Source organism: Homo sapiens, chromosome 13 (genome assembly GCF_000001405.40).
Source record: "Homo sapiens chromosome 13, GRCh38.p14 Primary Assembly".
NCBI classification, from domain to species: domain Eukaryota; kingdom Metazoa; phylum Chordata; class Mammalia; order Primates; family Hominidae; genus Homo; species Homo sapiens.
In genome coordinates this window covers 102,588,864-102,611,845 of record NC_000013.11, presented here as the reverse complement: position 1 = coordinate 102,611,845, position 22,982 = coordinate 102,588,864, and the positions used below count along the sequence as shown (strand labels likewise).

The window sequence follows — 22,982 nt, the reverse complement described above, 5'->3', positions numbered from 1 at the left end:
TTACAGAAAAAAGGAAACAGAACTCTTCAAACTAAGCATATAAAATCACTTCCAGGTGAATTCTAGAACAAACAGAAGAGAAAAGCTGTGACACTTCTTAGAAATATAGGAGAATATCTCTATGATCATGGGGTCAGAAAACATTTGTTATACACTGCTAGTGGAAATGTCTTTTTTTTATTTTTTTGAGAAGGAGTCTCGCTCTGTCACTCAGGCTGCTGTGCAGTGGCGCCATATTGGCTCACTGCAACCTCTGTGTTCTCCTGTCTCAGCCTCCCTAGTAGCTGGGATTCAGGTGTGCACCACCATGCCCAGCTAATTTTTGTATTTTTAGCAGAGAGGGGGTTTCGACATGTTGGTCAGGCTGGTCTTGAACTCCCGACCTCAGATGATCCAAAGTGCTTGGCCTCCCAAAGTGCTGGGATTACAGGTGTGAGCCACCGTGCCCGGCCTGGAAATGTCCTTTAATACAGACACTTGGTCAAGAAGATGTCCTGTCCAGTTAAAAAACAAACAAACACGCACTTGGAAAAACTGTTTGGCATGACCTAGTGACATATCTCCATGATTCAGCAATTCTACTCCTATGCACACATTCTGGAGACATCCACACACATGTGCACAGGATACACACACATCACAGCAGAATGGATAGAATGTAGTAGGTACAAACCATGGCATATTGCACAGCAATGAAACTTAATAAATCATTGCTGCCCGTGACAACATGGGCAAGTCTCAGGAATCTGAAATCTCACAACACCAAGGGAAAAATGACGTATGATGAAATTTTATGAATGAAATGAGACTGTTTATGTAAAGTTCAAAACTAAACAATATATTTTATGTAGCCACACAGATATGGTAAAACTACACACAAAAAAGCAAAGGAATGATTATCACAAAAGTTGAAATAGGCTGTGATATAGGAGGATGCAGGAAGTTTCTGATGTACGGCAATACTCTTTATCTTGATCTGGGTGGGTACAATGGTGTTAGCTATACTATTCATAAAACTGTATATATGTGTTTTATGTATTTTATGTATGTATATTTTGCAATAAAAGGTTTTAAAGTTCTATTCACTTTTGTACTTTTATCTGCTCATGGGAGTACCATAGGTCATAAGTAGCTTACCACTGGTTTCTCAAGGAAGCCTAGGAATATCATCCTTAGAGAATGAGGCTACTAAAGTGTTCAAAGCACCTAACTTAACAGTTGATCTTAAACTGACAGAAAAATAAAAGTCTGTTAGCAGTTTATGGGCTATGTGGAAAAAACAGACTATAAACATTTAATTCATTTCAAAGCATGACAGCTGGGCGCGGTGGCTGACATTTGTAATCCCAGCACTCTGGGAGGCCGAAGTGGGTGGATCACCTGATGTCAGGAGTTCGAGACCTGCCTAGCCAGCATGGTGAAACCCAGTCTCTACTAAAAATACAAAAAATTAGCCGGGCATGGTGGCGGGTGCCTATAATCCCAGCGACTTGGGAGGCTGAGGCAGGAAAATTGCTGGAACCCAGGAGACGGAGGTTGCAGTGAGCCAAGATCACACCACTGCACTCCAGCCTGGACGACAGAGCAAGACTCTGTCATAAATAAATAAATGAATAAATAAATAAATAAATAAATGCACGACTACATCAAAGAAACTTGAAGACTTCATTGTGCTGCTTTCTGAAAACTATGTACTAAAGAGTTGCAGAGATGCAACTAGTCAGAATCCCAGTGATTAATAATTCTTCCTTTTATTGACTACTGCAAAATATCTAAACACCTGCACATCCCTGAAAAAAATTAAACTGAACATGTGTGTGAGTACATGTTATGGATGGATGGAGAAGAGAGTTCTGACTAAGAAGACTGGCGGAAAATTTGTATAAGAGCACTCCCATTGCCCCATCCCACATCCTGCCCAAACTTCACCAACCAAGCTGAACCAGAGAAAAGCTGACATGTCAACAAAGCAAAGAACAGGTGATATGGTTTGGCTCTGTCTCTACCCAAATCGCATGTCGAAATATAACCCCTTCGTGTCAGGGGAGGGATGTGGTGGGAGGTGACTGGATCATGGGGGTGGATTTCCCCCTTGTTGTTCTTGTGATGATGAATTATTACAAGATCTAATGGTTTAAAAATGCATGGGGGCTGGGCACGGTGGCTCGCGCTTGTAATCCCAGCACTTTGGGAGGCTGAGGCAGGTAGATCACCTGAGGTCAGGAGTCTGAGACCAGCTTGGCCAACATGGTGAAACCCTGTCTCTACTAAAAATACAAAATTAGCCGGGTGTGGTGGCAGACACCTGTAATCCCAGCTACTCAGGAGGCTGAGGCAGGAGAATCGCTTGAACCCGGGTGGCAGATGTTGCAGTGAGTTGAGATCGCGCCATTGCACTCCAGTCTGGGCAACAAGACCAAAACTCCGTCTCAAAAAAAAAAAAAAAAAAAAAAGCATGGCACTTCTCCCTTTGCTGGCTCTCTTTCCTGCTCTATCATGATGAGAAGACATGTCTTGTTTCCCCTTCACCTTCCCCATGATTGTAAGTTTCCTGGGACTCCCAAGTCATGCTTCCTGTTAAGCCTGTAGGACTGTGAGTCGATTAAACCTCTTTTCTTCATAAATTCCCCAGTCTCATGTAGTTCTTCATAGCAATGTGAAAAGGAACTAATACAAAAAGGATGAGACATAAAAATGAGTCTGCATGACATCACTCCAGGCCCCTTGCATGGTGTGGTTACCTGAATACCTACGGCCAGACTTCTTGCTCACTCCTCCCCTAAACCCCAGGCCAAATGGGCTAAGGACTTCTTTAAGGTAACTGGGCATCCTGAGGGAAAAAAATATAGTGTATACTGATATTATGGGGGTTCCCCTAAATGTTATCATTACCCTATAGTGAAACCCACCAAAAGACCCTACATAAGCAGAGGAGCTTCCAATCACCTTTTCTTGTGCCTTGCTAAAATAAGACAGCTAGGGATGATTAGACACCTAAACAAAATATCTAACATAAAAAGCAGAGAACAAGGAAGAGGAGGCAGAGAAAGAGGAAGGAGAGGGTGAAGAAAAAGGGAGAAAGGAGAGGAGGAAGCAGAATAGGAGACTAAGAAAGGAGAACAGGAGGAAGGGGAGGGAAGAAACAATGAAATAGAAAAAAATTAAAATTTTATCTCAGAGATAAAATGTTGCATACATGATACAAAAATATGCTCCCAGTGAACATGAAGGGGCTTTTGCAATTAAAAATAGGCAAAATTTTAAAAAATTCACACAAGGGTTACAATGTTGAGAAAATGCTGGAAATCTCTCAGGAAGGAAAAAGATTAAGGCAATGAAGAAAAGGTGGAAAAAAATTTAAAAATTGGAGGATCAAGTCAAGAGGTCCAATGTTCAATTAACAGGAGTTCCAGAAAAAAACAGCAAAACAACGGAGAGGAAGTTACCTAAGAGAAAATGCAAAAAAAATTCTTGGAAATAAAGGACCTGAGAATTAAACTCTCTTCTTCCACATATTAATTCTACAAGTAAAGATTAAGACTAGAAAAAAAAATCAAGAAATAAAAAATATTAGCATGTTATTTTAAACTGAAGATAATTTAATGTATTAATGTACTGTTAAAGTAGAAAACAGTAGGGGAGAAGTGGGACAGGATTTAACTCTTTTTGTTAGAAGCCTTGTAAAAATATTTGTCTTTTTAAACTATTAAGACATACTGAACACAATTAAAAATTAAGTTTAAAAACCCACAATGAGGGGCTGAGAATACTTAATGTTAGAGCTAAAGAAATACGTCACCAAGCTGAGAAAAGACAAACCTTATAATTTTTTTGACTTTATTTAATAGCAATACATATGGTACACATATAATTCTACCTTTGAACACTAGTGATATTATTAGTTCATGTGGTTTATCTAAAGCCGGGATTACTGCAGCTATTTAAAAATAAATGAGGCCAGGCATGGTGGCTCATGCCTATAATACCAGCACTTTGGGAGGTCGAGGTGGGTGGATCACTTGAGGTCAGGAGTTTGAGACCAGCCTGGCCAACATGGCAAAATTCCATCTCTACTAAAAACACACAAAAAAATTAGCCAAGTGTCATGGCGCATGCCTGTAATCCCAGCTACTCGGGAGGCTGAGGCAGAAGAATCACTTGAATACAGGAAGCAGAGGTCGAGGTGAGCCGAGATTGTGCCATTGTACTTCAACCTGGGCGACAGAGTAAGACTCCATCTCAAAATTAATATAAATAAATAAATGCTCGAGTAATACTTTATATGGCTCTAAGCCTGCAAGACTTACTAGGAATTCTCTCTAGCTTCTCAGAGTACCATAGCTCACAGGAATCCCAAGTTTCCCTTTGAAACATATTCTAATAACAAGGTTGACTTGGGGGAAGACAGGCCAAACTCTAGAGTAATTCAGAAGGCTGAGCATTTCTAACCCGAAAATCTGAAATGCTCCATTGACCATTTCCTTTGAGTGTCATGTTGGCACTCAGAAAGTTCTGGATTTTGGAGCATTTCGGATTTTGGATTAGGGAGGCTCAACTGGTATATTCAATGCAAATATTCCAAAATCTGAAACCTAAAACACTTCTGGTCCCCAGCGTTTCAGATAAGGGATTCTCAACCCGCACCGTAAACTGGATGACTCTGACAATTGAAACTTATTTTTTCATAGTTCTAGGGGCTGGAAGCTCAGCATCAGGGTGCCAGCATGGTTGAGCATAGGTGAAAGCCCTCTTCCTGGCTTACAGAGGCCACCTTCTTGCTGTGTCCTCATATGCCCTAGAAAGAGCTTGCTCTAGAGAGAGCTCTCTGATGTCTCTTCTTATAAGGGTACTAATCCTATCCTGAGGGGACACATACTCATAACCTCATCTAACCCTAAATACCTCCCAAAGGCCCAACTTTCAAATACCAACACAAAGAGGGATAGGGCTTCAATGTATGAATTTTGGCAGGGGGTGGGGACACAGATAATCAGTTCCTAACACACAGAAAAGGAAGTAGAACCTGGATTATTAATGGCTGCTATCTGCCCATGACAGGCAGATTTCTAAGAAGACCCACGTCCCTCCCCTAAGTGAAGGCAGGACCCGTGAATATAATGAGATGTCACTCCCATGATTGCGTTATGGTACGTAAAGAAGGTGTAGGGATTTTGCAGACGCAATTAAGGACTCTGAGCAAATCAAAAGTGACATGATTCTCAGCGGGCCTGAACTAATCAGGTGAGTTCTTTAAAAGAAAGACTGGGGTCATCACCAAGGTCAGAGATTCTCTTACTGGCCTTGAAGAAGCAAGCTATCATGAGTTTTACAGCTGCAATGAAATGAATTTTTCCAACAATCATGTAAACTTGGAAAAGAAGCCTGAGCCTCAGCTGAGCCTTTAATCTTGACTGCAGTCTTGTGAGACCCTGAGCAGAGACCCACAAAAAGCCATGCCTGGACTCCTACCCCATGGAATCAGTGATATAATAAATACAGGAATACACAAGGTTTTAGGCGGCTAAGTCTGTGGTGCTTTATTACACGGCACAGAAAGCCAATATGCTGCCACAACAAGCTTACTTAAAAGACAAGACCTAAGAACAATTCAGATAGATGGCAAAAGGTGGGAAAAGCTAACTAAATAACCATAATTTTATGTTCCAAACTAATGCTGCTTAAGAGTACAGGATCACAAATTCTTGCCATCCATCCTTCATGCTCCTTAGCTCATGAGCTCCTCTGTGCTTGCTTTATAATTATTTTTTACGTTTAGCTTACCCAGGCCTTTCTACCAAGGACATAGAATAAGACAAAGCTGGTAGGCCGAGTGCCCTGGCTCACGCCTATAATCCCAGCACTTTGGGAGGCTGAGACAGGCGGATCACAAGGTCAAGAGTTCGAGACCAGCCTAGCCAAAATGGTGAAACCCTGTCTCTACTAATCATACAAAAATTAGCTGGACGTGGTGGCGGGCACCTGTAATCCCAGCTAATTGGGAGGCTGAGGCAGGAGAATTGCTAGAACCCGGGAGGCGGAGGTTGCAGTGAGCCAAGATTGCACCACTGCACTCTAGCCTGAGCAACGGAGCAAGACTCTATGTCTCGAAAAAAAAAAGAAAAAAAGAAGTTTAAAAAAAAAAAAAAGACAAAGCTGGCCATTTAAGTTAACAGCTACTATAGCCTAAGTATTTCTTCATGGTCAAGTTAACTGGGAATACTATGAAGGGACAGTAAAACATGAAGGCAAAGCTATGATGTGGTTACTTTCTCTATCTTTGTATTCAAAACATAAAATTTGGCAAGCTCACTGAAAAATACCGCCCAATTCTAATTACCTCATCAAACAACAAAATAATGGCTTCTTCTAAGACAGCTCCAATGATTCATTTCTTGTGAAATCCCTTCCCCTTAAGTGTGTGCTAGATTTATTAACTCACTTCCAATGAGCTCAATATAGTCAAGTGATAGGTGGTCCCTTAGAAGGTCACTTTTATAAAAAGCCTGTGGCTTTCATCGTGGGGACTCTCTCGGCTCACTCCCCCAGGGAAGGTGCTGCCAGGTACTGCAGCACTGCGGAGAGGCCCAATGGCAAGGAGCCAAGGCCTGCCAGTGACCCACCAGTAGGCTTGGAAACAAACTTCCCCTTCTTCTCCCAAGCTGAGCCTTCAGCTGAAGTCACAGCCATGGCTAACCATTTGCAACCTCCAGGGCGACTGGAACCCCGTTAAGCCACACCCAGATTCCTGACTCACAGAAACTCCGAGGTAATAAATATTTGTCATTTTAAACCAGGATGTTCTGAGGTAATCTGATATGTGGCAATGGATAACTAATACCACCACCAAATGTAAGGTAAAAACATTAGATGCTTTGAGGCAAGAGTAAAAAAAAAAAAATTCAAAAAGAAGACAAAAGGTCTCACCTTAAGCACTCTTCCTGAAAGGCCAACAATCTCACCATCCTTTGGCTCTACTTCTGTAGCAGTATTCACATCGCCACTTCCTGTTGTATCAATGATATCAACGATTTTTGGTTTTCCATCAGTTGTAACCTGAAAATTAAGAAAATTAAAATATGAATGGTAGATTTTAGGTTTTTATTCCTAAACAATGCAAATCCACATATATATGTGTGTGTATATACAAAATCTACATTCACTTAAAAAAGAGAACTGAACTGTTTTAAGCCAAAAGCCTGAACAAATACTAGTAAGAAAATTTAATCGTGGAAACACTACAGAATCCTTCAAGTCGTTTCATATATTCAATAAACAAATATTTACTGAGCATTTACTATAGACCACACCCTATTTTAGGTGCTGGGGATATGGCAGTGATCCATACGCAAAAATCCCTGACGATCTTATAGCGAGAAAGCAGTTCAGTTAATAACAAAGTAAAATAAAGAACATGTCAGATGTGCTATCACACTGGGTATTAGGGAAAAAAAAGAACATGTCAGATGGTGAAAATTAACTATGGAGAAAAATTAAGCAGGGAAGGGAGATGGTCAGTGTGGGGTTTTCAACATAAGTTTGGCTGGTCAAGGAAGGCCTTGCTGAGATGGTAACATTTGAGAAAAGATCTAAAGATGGTGAGCTGTGGGCTGGACAAGTTTAGAGCTTTAGGGGGAAAAAATGTTTAGTAGTAATGGTACCATTTAATGGCACCATTATTGGATGCCACACTAGCACCTCAAACGCAACAAAGTTCAAGCTTAACATGCCCCCCACCACCTGATTTTCTCCAGGCTTTGCCATCCCAGGAATCCCCACGCCCAGCTGTTCACACTGGAAACTTAACAATCCTCCTCTGATTCTTTACTTCAGTTGACTCCTCACAGCGAAGCTAACAGGAAATCCTGTTAATTCTTTGTCTAGAAGAGAGCTCAAATCCATTGCATTTTCACTACCACTATCCTAACTTTCCAAACCACCACCATCTCTTGCCTCCATGAGGTGAATTACCTAAGTGGTCCCTCAGTTTCCACTCTTGGCCCCATCAAAAGTAATACAGGCTGAGTGACCCTAACCTGAAAATTCCAAATGCTCCAAAATCATGGACATGAAGTTCAAAGGACATGTTCATTGGAGACTTTCGAATTTGCGATACTCAACCTGTATTAAAACAAGCTGTATTTTATCAGTCCTCTCCTTTAAGCCCATCAATGTATTCATGGAGCACTCAGAATACTCGCATAAAAAGCCTCGCACCATCTGACCCCTGCCACCCCGTTACTCAGGAGTCTAACCACGCCAACCTCCTTTCAATTCCTGAAACATGCCAAACTTTTTCCTGCCTCATGACTTTTTAAACAGGTTCCTTCTGCCTAGAATTCTTTATCTCTTCAGTTGTTCCACAGGATTCTATCTTCTCTCAGTTTTCTATTAAAGTCCCTCCTGCAGAAAGGCCTCCTCGATGACCTCCTTTAGGTAGCTGCCATCCTAAACTGGATTATTTTTTCTCACTGTACCTCATTTCCTTCACAGAACATAATTCTATTTCTAATGATACAAGTAGGTGATCTTCATCTGTTCCCCCTATTAGAATAGAAAGCTCCATGAAGGCAAGAGCCATGTCTACTTTATTCACGAACATACATATACCCACTACCTAGCAGTGCCTGTCAGGCATTCAATGAATACTTCATTACTGAATTACAAGACACAAGTTACTTAGCACTAAGACTGATTTTCAAAGGTTTGATTTCTTGCCAGTCCACAAATTTTCATTTGAGCCATAACATGATTGCTACAAGTAACAATATATATTTTTACACATTTTTGTGGGAAAATAATTTCTGGGCTCTTTCTTGGCTGGCTTTCCAAAGGGAATTTGTTGCATTCAGGAATATGTACTGAGTTACCAGCAGGAATCAGCCAGAAAACAGAGACACAACGACTGAAAAAAAAACAAAAAACGAAAAACAAAAAAACAAAAAAACAAAAAAACTCCATCCTCAAGAAAGAAACAGAAACATAAAAACCGTAGAAACTGTCAGTAAAGTGGAAGAGCACAGTCTTCAGACTCCAATTCCACCTGGAGAATTCACACTCTTTACGACAAAGCTTAATGTCCACTGCTCTGGGTCTTTCTGACCAACATGCCCCTCACCCCAACACAAGTATTTCCTCTGCAATAACCTCCAAGCTCTGTAATTAAGGTATACCCTGAAGAAGGAGAGGGAAATTCTCGATGTGGAGAAAACAAAAGCACACATTTTTTTTTCCTTTACCGGACAAAGCAAATGGGTGGTTGGTGGACCCCAAATCTCATTTCAATCTTGTTGCCATGGAACAACTGAGGGCCTGATAGCTGAAGGGGTCATAAAGGCCTCCCAGGCACAGCTGTTATTTTCATGTATGGTAATTCTCAAGTTGGATGTTTACTTCTTGGGAACTGTCCTATAATAGTAACAAATAAGAATTCTAATACTCAGAAAACTCAAAGTCATAATTAAAAAAAATCACTGTGGGAATCATACCAAACCCTGATACAACTATAAAACTTAAATCAGATACTGATTCTGAAGAGATAGGCTATATGTCTCAAAAATATAATTAAAAAAGAGAAAAATGTAAGAAAATCTACCAAAATAAAAATGGAAACAAAATTAAGTTGATACTACTTTATAAAATTAAAACTAGCTAGGTCATGTACTAATCATATAAGAAAATCACCTATTTTAAAATGTATTCCAATATGAAATTTGAAAGATATACAGTAGCACTAAGAACCCAAATCACCTATCTTCACCTCAATAAGCAAACCTGAGTGACTTGAGATCAAGAATAACAAGAGAGCACTAACAAGTCAGATAGATCTCTCATTAGAAACCTCATTATCAATATATTAGCAAAGGAAAAAAGCCTAATGGGATTTAATGGCTTATTTGTCACCTATTTCCACATGCTTTACTTACAAGGATCTCTCTCCTACACACACAAATTTTCATTACAAATTATTATACATGCAATTATCCTATCCATGAATTTCTTACTTTAATATTAGATAAAGAAAACCACTTCACTAGACATAAAAAGACAAAAACAGAAATGTAGGGTCAGAGGAGGGTTTTAAAAAGGCAAACCCCCTGAGGATTTGCCATGGTGTTTTGGGAGAAGTAAAGGAAAGGAGGAAGCTGAACTGCTAACAATGGAACTATATCACTCATCTCTGAGAAGGGGGAGGCTTCACATGGGAAAGAGGGACTGAAAGCATGGGCAGTTAGTATCGGTAAGAGCTTCGGTATTAAATCCTGGGTCCTGGGGTGGGAGACTGGGAAATGCTTACTGGGCTATGTTGGCTGGATGAAACAGAAATTGCCCAAAGCTTTTCCCAAAATGTCAAGAATCTAAGTTAGTGTATGTCTTCAATGTAACCAGTAAGGTAGAGGAGTTAGTGAAGGTTGGAAGATTTGCCAAACATTTGCAGAGAGGACCAGAACAAAAGGTAGGACATTTGCAGAGAGGACCAGAACAAATGGCGGGAAGTTTGCAATCTATCATAAACAACACAAAGTTAATGAGTTGACTTAAAATTTCAGGAAAGGTACTGAAAATATTCTTTTAAGCAAATAAAGATTTAATAAATATTAACCAGTGACTTTTATTCTAAGAATATAATGATTAATATAAATAAGACAATCTTTGCTTTTGTAAAGGTTACTATTGGTTGGAAAGAAAAAGTAAGTAGAGAGATGATGACAAAACAGGACAACAAATAATAGAGGTCAGGCCAGTCTGGGTAACACAGTGAGACCCTGTCTCTACAAAAAAATTAAAAAATTAGCTGGGTATGGTGGCACATGCTTATGGTCCCAGCTACTGCAGTGGCTGAGGCAGGAGGCTTGCTTAAACCCAGGAGTTTGAGGCTGAAATGAGTGGTGATCCTGCCACTGTGCCACTGTACTCCAGCCTGGGTGACAGAGTGAGACCCTGTCTTTGAGGGAAAAAAAAAAAAGAGGTTAGGACACTATCTATGAAAGCATACAAAAACATGTAAAAACACAAAACCCAACTTGGGGGGAATGAGGGAAAGCTAACTGAAAGAGAGGTAATAAAATTTTAGTGAATGTAAAAATAGAGTTTTATGAAACTACTCGTAACCTCCTCAAACCTTTTTTTTCCCTCTATGAGGAAATTATATTCCTTCATTATGCCCATATATATTTTTTCCATTCAACAAAAACATTTAACATTACAAGCACATGTCATACAATTTTGATACATGCTTTCAAAGATTTTTAAGTTAACCAGGAAAAAGTTATCTAAACAGAAACACTAAAATACATATTTCAGGTGCTATTAAGGGGATCTAAGCAAATTGCTATAACAGCAAAGAGACAAAAAGCCTAAATAACTCTTAGGAGGGATTGGGCCTTACTCACCTCTGAAGCTGCAGGCCCTAACACAATGGCAAACACACATAAATACGAGGTGGTGGGGGGAGGGGGCGCGCAGAATTAAATCAGTTGATTTTCCAAAACATAATGGTGTCAAGACCCGACTGGATCTTAAAGGATGAAGCAGGAGTTTACAGATGACGGATGGTAGAAGCCTGACGGAAGATGAAACGCCACATGTAAAGGCATGTATTGGCAAAAAGACCTGAAACATCTAGGTGAGTGTAAGAATGAAATGTTCAAGGGGAGGCAAAGGATGAAAGGTGGGGATGAAGGGGCTATGGACATAAGAAATGATGAGAACTGAGGCTACATAAGGAGGCCAGAGTTGGATGGCAAATGGCCTCATATATACCATTCAATTTTTTTTTTTAATTTTTACACAAAAGCAGTTGAGATTCCAAAATGGCTTTGTTTTAAATGAGGGTATAATACAAGGTTTTTTTTTTTTTTTAAGGAATCTAACTCTAGAAATGTGAAGGATGGATCAAAGAGAAACAAGACTGGTGGAAGGGAGACCTCCTGGCTATTGCATACATATATTCTGGTCTAGTCCAAGTTCCATCTGGTCTGTGAAACCTGACCAGTCCAGCTCTTACTGGCCAATGCTGCCCCAATCCCTGCCCCATCCCCCCAATAATCCTTGTCAATCTCTGCAAGAGTGACAGTTTGCAAGACTATATCATTTAACACAAACTTAGGCACCTGGTAGGTGCCTGAATATCTGCTGAGGAAATATGAAATCACTTACGTAACTACTACTCTTCTCATGCCACCCATCCTCCACTTGATCATGCCCACAGACCTGTCACAAAAGAATTGGGCCCAAGGAAGTCACCAAAGACTGAGACAACCCACTGTGTTCTTCCACGTTTTCACTTGTGCCTCTAGTCCTTTATTCAGACCCCACCCGGCTTTCCAAACTGCCAGTTCAGCCTCATCTTCCTCCTATTTCATTCTTTCCTTCCTTTTTCTTTCTATCCATCCTCTAATCTTAATGATGTACACATATATCTACAAAATAAATCTGTTAAAGGTACAGGAAAAAAAAATCCTCACGTTTGCAAGCCACCGTACCCAATTTCTTTTAACTGGCTATGTTTAGGCCAATATCTGAGTCAAGGTTGTTAAAAGAGAAGACTTATGCTTTCATTTTATTTCAATATTTTATCATCTGAATATTTATTACATGCAAATATCTAACATATATTTACCCTCCAAATAGTTGGTGATGAAAGATCCAGCATAAACTTCTATTCACTTATGGTGGGAGCTAAATATTGAGTACACATGGACACAAAGACGGGAACAACAGATACTGGGGATCCCAAAGGGAAGGGGTGGAAATAAGACTGAAACACTACCTACTGGGTACCACGCTCACTACCTGGGTGACAGGATCAATCACACCCCAAACCTTAACATCAGGCAATACCCCCATGTAACAAACCTGTACTTCTACCTTCTGAATCTAAAATAAAAGTTGAAATTATATATACAAAAAAGAATAAATATCATTGCCAAAATAGTTTAATATTTTTCTTGAGCATTTAAAAAAGTCACATGTAATTAGCCAGTCCTCTTATAATCAATTTTCACAACAAGGCTGTGGGGTGAAAATTATTGTTACTTTAGAGAGAGTAACAGAATAATGTGAGAAACAGATCTGGAAATTCTACCAACAAATTCTACCAAGCAGCACTTCTCCAAACTTTTCTGACCCTCTTATTATCCTGACAAAAGAACCGGTGAACCACTTATCCCAGCTGTTTTCCTCCCACTCATCCTATAAAAAGTAAACACACTCCACAGCTGAATGAAAAGCATTATTACTTTGTAATAAAGCCCCAAATGAGTTGATAGCTGTCATTGTTCTAAGTCTTTAAGTTATTAATACAACGACAACTATATAACTCCAGTTACCGGGAGGGAATTCAGTACCTGATCCTCTTCTGATTCACAAAAGATGTGCTGTACTCCAGAGTGGTGCTGAAGAACACACACCAGGAATCAAGATTCCCAGGGGTTTCTAAGCAGATTCGGCCAGACTCCCCCTCGTTACTTCCAAAATGCTACCTCAATAATCAGAAAGCACGATAAAGGATCCAGAAGGGAAGGGACATTGTGGGGAGGAGGATGAGTGTTTAGTGTAGAAAGGAGGATAAGATAGCCAGGGGCTGATCAACGAGAGATCAGCATACAGTAGGATTAGTCAGGGATGCTGGGAGATGGATCTTGAATAACGGTGAAATTTTATTACTGGATTTCAGTAAAGGGTTAAAAGTACAAAAGTTAAACTTTAAAGACTTTAAACAGAATGCTTTTAACGAGAGACAACATACTTTCAAAAAAACTACCTTCTGGTATGATACCTTGAATCTACAGATTTTAAAGTTGCCTAAGGCAAAAAACTAAGTAATTTTTAAAAACCGTCGTATGTTTTCAGGTTTAAAAAAAAAAAAGTCGCATATTTTCATAAGGTCTGAGAAGCTCGCCAAAACCAAACCTAACTGAATTCTCCTTATGTAAACGAAGACTAAGCCACAAGATTCAATGACCCTAAGCAAACACGCTGCAGAAGACCGTTTAAAAATAGAATACACAAAACTACCACAGGAAACAATTCCGGAAGAGGACTGGGTTATCTTCTGGAAACCCAGCTTTCGTGCTTAAAGACAAACTATTCTTCCCCAAACCAAATCTCCCGATCCCTAAACATTAAGTTCTCACATGTCAGTTGCCTATCTGGTGTCTCCACCCCACCCCAATGATAAAAGCTGTAAAATTCTCTTTAAAAACGTCAGGCTGGGACCGGTGTCCGAGGCACGAGGGGTAGGCAGAGGAAGGCGGCGTGGAGGGAAGGAGCCTGGGGGGTCCGGCCTGGCAGCGCCGAAGCGAGAAGGAAGGGGAGTCCCTGGGGCCAAAGGGGGACCCAGGCTTCCCCAGGCAGCCGCGCCGGGCACGCTGCTTTTGTTGAGCTGGGGGGACCACGGCCCAACCTGGGGTCCGGGCCCTCGCCCGCCCAGCGACCCTGGCACTGTGCGCCGTTGAGTCCCCTTGGCGGGCGCCCGTCCCTCCCGCGCCTGGCTCTGACCTCTGCCCACCCCGGTGCTGCCCACCCCGGCCCGGACTCGGCCGCAGAGCGGGGCTTTGGCCTGCCGGGCTCCGAGACTGTGTCCCCACCCGCGTCCCCGGCCGCCCGCGCCCCCGCGCCCGGGCCCTCGGGGGCCGCCTCACCTGCATGCCCGGAGCCCCCGGGTCGACCCCCGTGTCCAGGACTGCGATGAGCACCCCCCGCCCATCATACTCCGGGTAGCGGCAGAGGAAGGAGGCGGCTCCGGTCTCCTTCTTCGGCAGGAGACCGTGAAAAGGGAAGGGCTCCTCAGTCGCAGCGGTGGCCATGGACGCAGGATGGAGGACGAGGAAGCGGCAAACTGCCAGGCTGCGCGCGGACTAGCAGCGCGAGGACACCCGTGCGGCCTCGGGCCGGAGGCGGGGGCGAGGGGCGGGGTCGGCCCGTCTTCCACCAATCCCGGCCTGCCAGGGAGCGGTGGCCAATCACGTGCTGCTACGTAAGCCAACGGCGCCGCTCTCAGGAGCTAGGCCCGAGTATTGCCCGGGCTGCAGTGAAGGGGGAGGAGTCTGAGGACATTACTGGAGGGTTCGGATCTCGAACCTGGGGCCTTGAAGAGGCCCGCGCTTGGGGTTTTTAGGCAACAGCAGGCCTCCAAGCAGAGTCCTGGTGTCCCGGACCGAATCACTCCCCGAGAGACGGGCAAGGAGATGGACCGCCAGCCAGGAATAATGGGAACCCTTCGCTTGGCAAACGATAGTTTCCAAACTTAAGGTTGTGGATGAAACTTTTTGGTGCGGCTGCTGCAGGAGCCCCAGCCCCGGGGTGCTGCTGACCCGAGGCAAGGGAGCCGGCGCACTCACGCTTAGCCGCTAAGGAGTCTGCGGTGTCGGCGAAAGCTCCGGACATGATTTTGGAAGGTCGTAGGTTAAGGGGTGTAGACTTTGGGTTCCCCTGTGTTGTTATGCCCCTTTGATGGGGGTGAGGTGGTGAGGGGGAGCAATAGGGTGGAGACAGGCAATAGTTTCAGTCAACAGGAAGTGGGTTGTTGGTCATTCCGTCGCCTTTGTAGCCAGTAACAAAGCACGAGACTGAAATGGGCCCCTCCTATCCTCTGCTGATCCTTAGCTTCCGGGATTTCTGAAAAACATCTTTTTTTTTCCTCTTACACTGAAGTTTCTGATTGCTCCTTACGGCTGTCCACTCAATTATAGAGCCATAATTTTCAGTTTTCCAGATTCACAGTGCCTGCCGTCAGTTGCTGCAAGCTGCATAGTGGTCCTCTAATGATCTTTATGTCTATGCTCATGCCAGGGTAATCTTAGCCTTTTATTGTGCCGAAGACCCCTTTGGCAATCTGGTGAGGCCTATTTCTCAAGCAGTGTTTTAAAATGCATACAATGAAATAGATAGGATTACCCAGGAAATAAATTATGTTTAAATGCAGTTATCAAAAATACTAAAGGCAATTTTGTTATATAGCAGGAGCTTTACGTGTGTGTGTATAGTTACAGGTGTACTTCTTTTGCATTAAATAACAGGAGCTAGGGCCAAGGCTAATAAACTACCATAACTTCAAAATAGTGAAGAATATAATTATTTGGAGATAGCGGTGAAAACTGCACTACGATGAACTGATTTTTATTGGTGACATAACAGCATAACTACCCTGGTTTTTGCCTACATTCATACTTGATGTGAAAAAAATTAAGAGGTTTGTATCTTTTTTCTACGGAAGTTTTTGAACCCCTTGGATTCTGTCTATGGACACCAAGTTAAGAATACCTGGTATAAAGGAAAGCCTTATGCATGCGGTTTCCAACCCACAGAATTTCAGAGATCCTCCATTAAGTCTCAAAAATTATTCTTATGGCTGTGCAATGGTTTCAGCTGATTCCTTGATCATTTATTCAGTCCATAAGTCTTACACAAGCATGTTCTCTTTAGTGCAGAGGAAAAAGAAAAGTTGAATGTTTTTCTTCTTATTCCCAACTGTTTACATTACCTCTAGAAAAGAATTTCAAATTAACACAGACGAAAACAGAATAACAAACTCGCAGAAGACATTCAGTATAGAGCTTATAGTGATAGAACAGAATGGCTCCCAGTTTCAAGTGAACCATAGTCCAATCACTTCATTTTATAGATGAAGAAACAAAGTTAACTGACTGTCATGGATTACAAAACAGGTTGATGAAAACACGGGATTTGTCTTCTCACAATCTCTCCCCAGTATGTTCTACCACACCATGTGCATGACTTTGCCAGAGTATCACCCAATGAATAAATGGGGAATGAACAGTTTATTATGAAACCTAGGTGGCAGACTTTTTATTAGACTGCCGTAACAATGTTCTTTAGATTTTTCTTTTCCTTTCCTTTTCTTTTTCTTTTTTGACACAGAGTCTCACTCTGTGGCCCAGGCTGGAGTGCAATGTCACAATCTCGGGTAACTGTAACCTCCGCCTCCCGGGTTCAAGCAGTTCTCCTGCCTCAGCCTCCCGAGTAGCTGGGATTACAGGTGCATGCCACCACACCTGGCTAGTTTTTGTATTTTTAGTAGAGACGGGGTTTCGCCATGTTGGCCAGGCTGGTCTTGAACTCCTGACCTTAGGGGATCCACCCACCTCGGCCTCCCAAGGTGCTCAGATTACAGGCATCAGCCACTGCACCCGGCCAGATTTTTCTTTTTTTGCTTACATATCCCATAAACATGTTTTTAAAAAAGTTATGTATCCCTTTGTACAGCTGTAAAATGAAGTCTAAATTTGTCACAATTTTTTTTTTTTTTTTTGAGATGGAGTTTTGCTCTTCTTGCCCAGGCTGGAGTGCAATGGCGGGATCTCGGCTCACTGCAACCTCCACCTCCCGGGGTTCAAGTGATTCTCCTGCCTCAGCCTCCCAAGTAGCTGGGATTACAGGCATGTGCCACCACACCCAGCTAATGTTTGTATTTTTTTAAATAGATACGGGGTTTCTCCATGTTGATGTCAGACTGGTCTCGAACTCCCGACCTCAGGTGATCCACCCGCCTCGGCCCCCCAAAGTGCTGGCATTACAAGCGTGAATCACTGCGCCCGGCCTATCATAAATTTTAAAAATTATAAAGGATGTAATTTCTGGCATAGTATAAATATCGTCATTATTTAATGAAACTTTCACGTTTCTCATGTAAATATACCCAGTTGAGTGTAACTCTGATAGCTACCATCAACTATTTATAAAATATCTGAACACTTAAAAGCAGACATTTTATATCACTATTTCTTCTGGAAACTTTATTTCCATTCTATATGGAATTTTTTCTCATTGTAATTTGCATTTATAATGGAAAGGCATATTGATAATGTATCATCATCTGCAATAAAAATATATTAATTTTAAAAATTTTCCTGGAAGAAAAATGTTAAACTTATTCTTTTGGGTTATCTTTCAGTTATTACAAAGTTGATTACAACAACATGAGTAAGTCTTAAGCTTTGATTAAAAATTACAGGACAAAAAAATTTTTATTGAAAATAGAGCTCTTAAAAAGATGCTTGGTATAAATAAGTCATGCTTCTGTTAATGACAGGACTAGTTAAAAGGATAAGATTTGTATGTCTGTGTCTCTTGTAAAATTGAATCATCAATTCTTAAGAAGCGAAACCAGGATATATAAGTATTACATAATATGCCCAGAAAGTAATGTGAACAAAATTCAGACGTACGTTGAAGCTCCCATTTTAAGAATCACTCATATGACAAATGTCATCTTTTGCTCTATAACCTTTGCTTAAATTGTAGAAAAGATGGATTTAATGAGACAAATGAAAAGTGGTTTAACATAACACACAGCAGAGCATATGCTGTTATGCTTTGGTGTTTGTTCCCTAGCCCTTGTTCCTCATAATAGATTGTGGAATGTTTCAAAAATGCTGTAACTTTTTTTTGCTAATTGTGGTCTTAACAAAAATTGTTCTTGATTTTAAAAAAAGATGGATAGGATTGGTTATTGAACTTTGATATTAAATAAAGTTTTAGTGATAGTATTTCAAATTGTCCCGTTATTTGATGCCCCAGAGGCTATTACACCTGCAGGTGGTGCATAATAGTAAGATTCGGGATGTGTTCCTTTTCCCTAAAAGGTGGGAGACCCAGCACTGAAATAGGTGCAAAAGAGAATCATGTCTTTCCGCCACAGGCACGCTGCCAGGCAGATAAGCTTAGAAAAAAGTGGTTGACTTCAGGCATCTGGAAATTGATTTCATCGAAACTATCCATGTACCAGTTTGAAACCCACTATTTTATATAACCCCTGAAATCACTTTAACTCAATACAGTCATTTACTGTTTGTCTTCAAGCCAAATGTTGTACATATTATAAGTGCTTACATTTTTTCCTCCTTTGATTTAATGACATTATCACTGGGGGGAATTTTTAATGCTAAGACAGTTTGTGTGACAGTTCATTGGATATTGGAAACAAGTAGAGAGTATAAGTAGAGAAACATGGATAATCTGTAATAATATATAATAATAAAACAAAAAAAAATGAGGAGGAGGAGGAGAGGCAAAAACAAGGTCAGTAGGCCTAGGCGTTGGTCATCTTATGGAGGGTAAAGTATTAATAATAGGCTGGACGCACAGCAACTTCTCTCACCCAGCATTGTTCAAAGCAGGAAGTGCTGAGTCAGATGTTTTTCCTGTCACCTGCCCCATTTGAGGCTGCAATCCAAGGCACAGGTGCTGTGGAAGGCAATAGCTTTCTATGAATCGCCTTCCTTGCAACTATTGCTGCAGCCTATCGTTTAGAGAATATTTTAAAATTTAATTTTCCAAGACTCTAGAGATTGCATAAGCATCCTACATGTGCCAGCCGCTGGGCTTTGAAATCTTCCTCTGCCTTGCAGCGAGGCCGCACCTCCCGTGGGCGGCTCCCAGCCCGTGATGGAAGCGAAGGGATGCTGGAGCAGATCTGTTTCGGGAGGCGGGCAATTTCGCGGACTGCTGTCTCAGGCTCCAGGACTCCCCGGCCGGCTTTGCCAAGTTGGACTGCGTGGTGGTCCAGGGCGCTTCCACCCAGCCTCTCTGCCTCTCCTATTTACTCGGCGTCAGACTTGCATCGCGGCCTGATGCCTCTCTCAGCTTTTTGTGGACCCTTGACTACCTGACCTCGCGCAGGCACTAACACGTATCCCTGCTCCTCACAACACGTCCGCCCCCACCCCGAGGACCCGAAACTAAAATAGCTCACACCAAAGAAACAGGTTCGGATGCATGAAGGTTCGCCACTGCTGCCCCCCAAAGGCAAAAGCCGTCGTTACCGTTTCTACCAAAGATAACTGAGTCCAAAAGCCAGGGCGACCTGATCAGCAAAGTTTAAGTTACAAGGCCGTGCCTGGCTGTATGGAAGCCTGATCAAGTAGTTCTGATTTCTTACCTGGAGAGCAGGACTGAAAATGTGGGAAATTCCATAAACATAGGAAAGCTTTCCAATGATGCCAGGAAATCGTGACAAATATCCACTTTGCTAACATACCTCCAAACCAAAGTAAACTACACAACATCAAGTTCCAGGTACTTGAGCCTCCAGTAATAAAATGGTAAACTAAGCAGTTTGGACCAGGCCTTCTGGTGAAAGTGAGAACTGGACAATGTATGAAAAATATCTGCTTGAAAGATACCTTCCTGAAGGATCAGAGAGCTAACAGGGTGGTGAAGAGTTCGCGTAAAAGACATAAATTCAGAGACTTAAGCCTAACATTTGAGACAGCTTTGCCTTTCAGGGCATTTGCCAGTGCGTAAAGAGGTAGCTGAGAGACAGAATTTTTTTTTACAGCCTCCCAGGGCTATGGGTACAAGAGTGGAGGCCAGAGCCTGCCAAGAGTGGGAACAGCATGGAAAACCTATATTTTGGGTTGAGGCTGCAAAGTCCACACCCAACAAATAGGAATAAATTGAAAGTAAACTTAGACTGGCCCCAGAGGGATATCACATTATAGATAATATTAAGTCCTGAACTTGGATCAAGGTGATTATTCTCAATGGTATATGTTCATTGGAATCATCTGGAGAACCTTAAAAATATCGCTACTTGAGCCCACAGATTCCCAGAATTCCAGATATTCTGATTTAATTGGTCTGGATTTTCGCCTGGGCATTGAGATATTTTATATCTACCCAGATTATTCTAATGGGTAGCCAAGGCTGAAACCCACTCAGCTAGTTCTGCCTGGCAGAAGCAAAATACTTTAAAATACCTATATTTACTCCATTCAGGAAGATAAAGATATAGTTGAGCATTTGGGCAGAAAATCAGAAACTTAAAAAAGACAAAGCCAATTTAGAAAGAGCCAAAAAGAAATTTTAGAACTGAAAAATACAAAAGCAAAACAAAATTAGGAACTCAGTTTCTTAATTAAGAAACTCGGTTTCGTAATTAAGAATGAGTTTCATAGTTACTGTCATTTAGCCAAAAAGAATTATAAATTGCAAGAAAATACTAAAAAATACCTGGAAAAATAAAAGGATGAAAAACACAGAAGAGATGAAAAGAGTAATAGATGTAATAGTGGGAAGTTCTAACAAGCTTTTAAGAAATGAGAAAGAAAATGCTTTAGAAGCAATATCTGAGAGTTGAAAGCCTATATATTCAAAAAGTCTGATGGCCCTGAAGCAAGATAAATTTTAAAAAATCTACATCTGGGGACATCATAGTAAAAAAAAAATGAAAAGGCAAGAGTAGTTAGAGAAAAAAGATTACTTTCAAAGAAGCAGCAATTGATTGAGAACCGATTCCAAACAGAAATGAAGAAAACCAGGAGACAATGAGACGACAGCTCACCCATGCTGAAAGAAAATAATCGCCAACCCAGAATTCTGTAGCTAATGAAAACATCCTTCAAGAAAGAGAACATGATCAAGACATCTTCAGAGACGCAAAGGCCGAGGCAATGTGTCACCAGAAAGACAGCAAAAAGTAAATACTAAAGGATATTCTTTGGGCAAAACAAAAATGGGCCAGGCACAGTGGCTCACACCTGTAATCCCAGCACTTTGGGAGGCCAAGGTGGGTGGATCGCGAGGTCAGGAGATCGAGACCAGCCTGGCCAACATGGTGAAACCCCATCTCTACAGAACTACAAAAATTAGCCAGGCATGATGGCGGGTGCCTGTAATCCCAGCTACTTGGGAGGCTGAGGCAGGAGAATTGTTTGAACCTGGAAGGTGGAGTTTGCAGTGAGCCGAGATCGCGCCAGTGCACTCCAGCCTGGGTGACTGAGTGAGCCTCCATATCAAAAAAAAAAAAAAAAGACTCAGACACCCCAAAAGCTATATCGAAGTTGAATCAATTTCAGAATGGTGTCTTTTATTGTCAGTTAATGCAAGAAATTTTTTTAAAATGCCTTCCCAGGCCAGAGATGGGGAGATGTACTTTTAGCATTATACGGCTAGGGTTATTACTTTACACAGAAAAGAGCCGATGTTATGTAAATAGGAGAAATGTGATTTTTTCATATAGGAAAAATAGGTGCTTTTGACAGGAAATTAATACTTGGAGTGGTGAGGTGTGTTTAATTTCACGTATGTCACAAAACATGGTGAAATCTCTCACCATTTTCCTCTCATCTGTGGGACCAGAGCTGCCTTTTCTCCCTTTCTCCCCAACAGCTCTGAACAGCTGTCCTGGGGACCAGAGGCTCACCCTTCCCTCTGCAGAACCAGTAGAAACTGGGCAGAACAGTGAATCCATTTACCTCCAGAGGACACTAGAGACTGTAGGTTTAAAGACATAAGAGAATTATGTGGCAGATGGCCTTGATTATTTGTGTGGGGCAGATGGTATGTACGGGGAAACACAGAGCGGGGGCTTAGGCGGGAGCTTCCCTTCGTGGGCAGCATCTTGCATCTGCAAGCTTAATCCTGGGCACGAGGCCCAATTCTATGCTCCTCTTTGTTGCCTTCTCCAGCTGTGAGACATTCACTGGAATTTTCAGTAAATAACTTCTTAGGACCTCTGTGTTGATCAGGGATAGTCCAGGCTATGCTGTGGCAGAATACAAGCCCAAATTCCGGTGAGCTAAAAGACATTGCCCTTGTCTACTCATTGCAGCATCTCCATTCCTGGTTGGCTGAGAGCTCTGCTCCAAGCTGTCACACCTTTGGATTCAGGTTGAAAGGCTGCACTGTCTGGAATGTAGCTGGTCACCACGGCAGGAGAAACAAGAACATGGGGAAATAGGCATCAGCTTCCAGACCTTCCATCACTTCTGCTCACATTTCATTAACCAAAGCAAGTTTCATGGCCGCGGCCAAGTCCAAGGAGGCAGAAAAGTACAGTTCTATCGTGTGCCCATGGGGACAGTCTTCATCCATTCAGGCTGCTATAACAAAATACCGTAAACTGAGTGGCTTGTAAATAATAGAAATTCATTTCTCACAGTTTTGGAGGCTGGGACATCCAAGAGCAAGTTGCAGACTCAGTCTGGTGAAGGCCCATCTTCTGGTTCATAGACAGCTGT

The 22,982-nt window shown here is 41.8% G+C and overlaps 1 protein-coding gene and 1 long non-coding RNA gene across 9 annotated transcripts in view, besides 10 other annotated features; one reads left to right on the top strand and one right to left on the bottom strand.

Annotated features, from left to right (window-relative positions):
- Positions 1–14,860, bottom strand: part of TPP2 (tripeptidyl peptidase 2) — an 82,973-nt gene extending 68,113 nt beyond the window's left edge. For all 8 annotated transcript variants that reach the window (NR_160411.1, XM_005254070.3, NM_001330588.2 and 5 more), the window contains exons 1-2: positions 14,643–14,860; positions 6,925–7,053 (exon numbers count right to left, since the gene is read on the bottom strand). Coding sequence is in view for 7 of the 8 variants with exons in the window: in XM_005254070.3 (XP_005254127.1) it covers positions 6,925–7,053; positions 14,643–14,807 (294 nt within the window). In the remaining variant the exon portion in view is untranslated. The remainder of the gene's footprint in view (positions 1–6,924; positions 7,054–14,642) is intronic.
- Positions 14,347–14,636: a silencer, noted in NCBI's record as "silent region_5482". NCBI's record gives its function as "represses an Ori minimal core promoter by ATAC-STARR-seq in GM12878 lymphoblastoid cells {active_cell/tissue: GM12878}" and the evidence as "EXISTENCE:reporter gene assay evidence [ECO:0000049][PMID:35858748]".
- Positions 14,797–15,086: a silencer, noted in NCBI's record as "silent region_5481". NCBI's record gives its function as "represses an Ori minimal core promoter by ATAC-STARR-seq in GM12878 lymphoblastoid cells {active_cell/tissue: GM12878}" and the evidence as "EXISTENCE:reporter gene assay evidence [ECO:0000049][PMID:35858748]".
- Positions 14,904–18,509, top strand: LOC107984588 (uncharacterized). The gene is made up of 2 exons (XR_001749984.3): positions 14,904–15,398; positions 17,445–18,509. It is a non-coding gene; the product is annotated as an uncharacterized LOC107984588 (long non-coding RNA).
- Positions 15,157–15,216: an enhancer, noted in NCBI's record as "active region_7969". NCBI's record gives its function as "activates an Ori minimal core promoter by ATAC-STARR-seq in GM12878 lymphoblastoid cells {active_cell/tissue: GM12878}" and the evidence as "EXISTENCE:reporter gene assay evidence [ECO:0000049][PMID:35858748]".
- Positions 15,267–15,426: an enhancer, noted in NCBI's record as "active region_7968". NCBI's record gives its function as "activates an Ori minimal core promoter by ATAC-STARR-seq in GM12878 lymphoblastoid cells {active_cell/tissue: GM12878}" and the evidence as "EXISTENCE:reporter gene assay evidence [ECO:0000049][PMID:35858748]".
- Positions 18,850–19,397: an enhancer, noted in NCBI's record as "H3K27ac-H3K4me1 hESC enhancer chr13:103244799-103245346 (GRCh37/hg19 assembly coordinates)". NCBI's record gives its function as "activates a minimal SCP1, AML or CMV promoter by ChIP-STARR-seq in primed H9 embryonic stem cells {active_cell/tissue: H9 hESC(primed)}" and the evidence as "EXISTENCE:reporter gene assay evidence [ECO:0000049][PMID:30033119]".
- Positions 18,850–19,947: a biological region, named in NCBI's record as "H3K27ac-H3K4me1 hESC enhancers GRCh37_chr13:103244249-103244798 and GRCh37_chr13:103244799-103245346".
- Positions 19,278–19,607: an enhancer, noted in NCBI's record as "active region_7967". NCBI's record gives its function as "activates an Ori minimal core promoter by ATAC-STARR-seq in GM12878 lymphoblastoid cells {active_cell/tissue: GM12878}" and the evidence as "EXISTENCE:reporter gene assay evidence [ECO:0000049][PMID:35858748]".
- Positions 19,398–19,947: an enhancer, noted in NCBI's record as "H3K27ac-H3K4me1 hESC enhancer chr13:103244249-103244798 (GRCh37/hg19 assembly coordinates)". NCBI's record gives its function as "activates a minimal SCP1, AML or CMV promoter by ChIP-STARR-seq in primed H9 embryonic stem cells {active_cell/tissue: H9 hESC(primed)}" and the evidence as "EXISTENCE:reporter gene assay evidence [ECO:0000049][PMID:30033119]".
- Positions 19,633–19,808: a silencer, noted in NCBI's record as "fragment chr13:103244388-103244563 (GRCh37/hg19 assembly coordinates)". NCBI's record gives its function as "represses an EF-1alpha promoter that drives an FKBP-Casp9 reporter gene in an ReSE screen in K562 erythroleukemia cells {active_cell/tissue: K562}" and the evidence as "EXISTENCE:reporter gene assay evidence [ECO:0000049][PMID:32094911]".
- Positions 19,638–19,857: an enhancer, noted in NCBI's record as "active region_7966". NCBI's record gives its function as "activates an Ori minimal core promoter by ATAC-STARR-seq in GM12878 lymphoblastoid cells {active_cell/tissue: GM12878}" and the evidence as "EXISTENCE:reporter gene assay evidence [ECO:0000049][PMID:35858748]".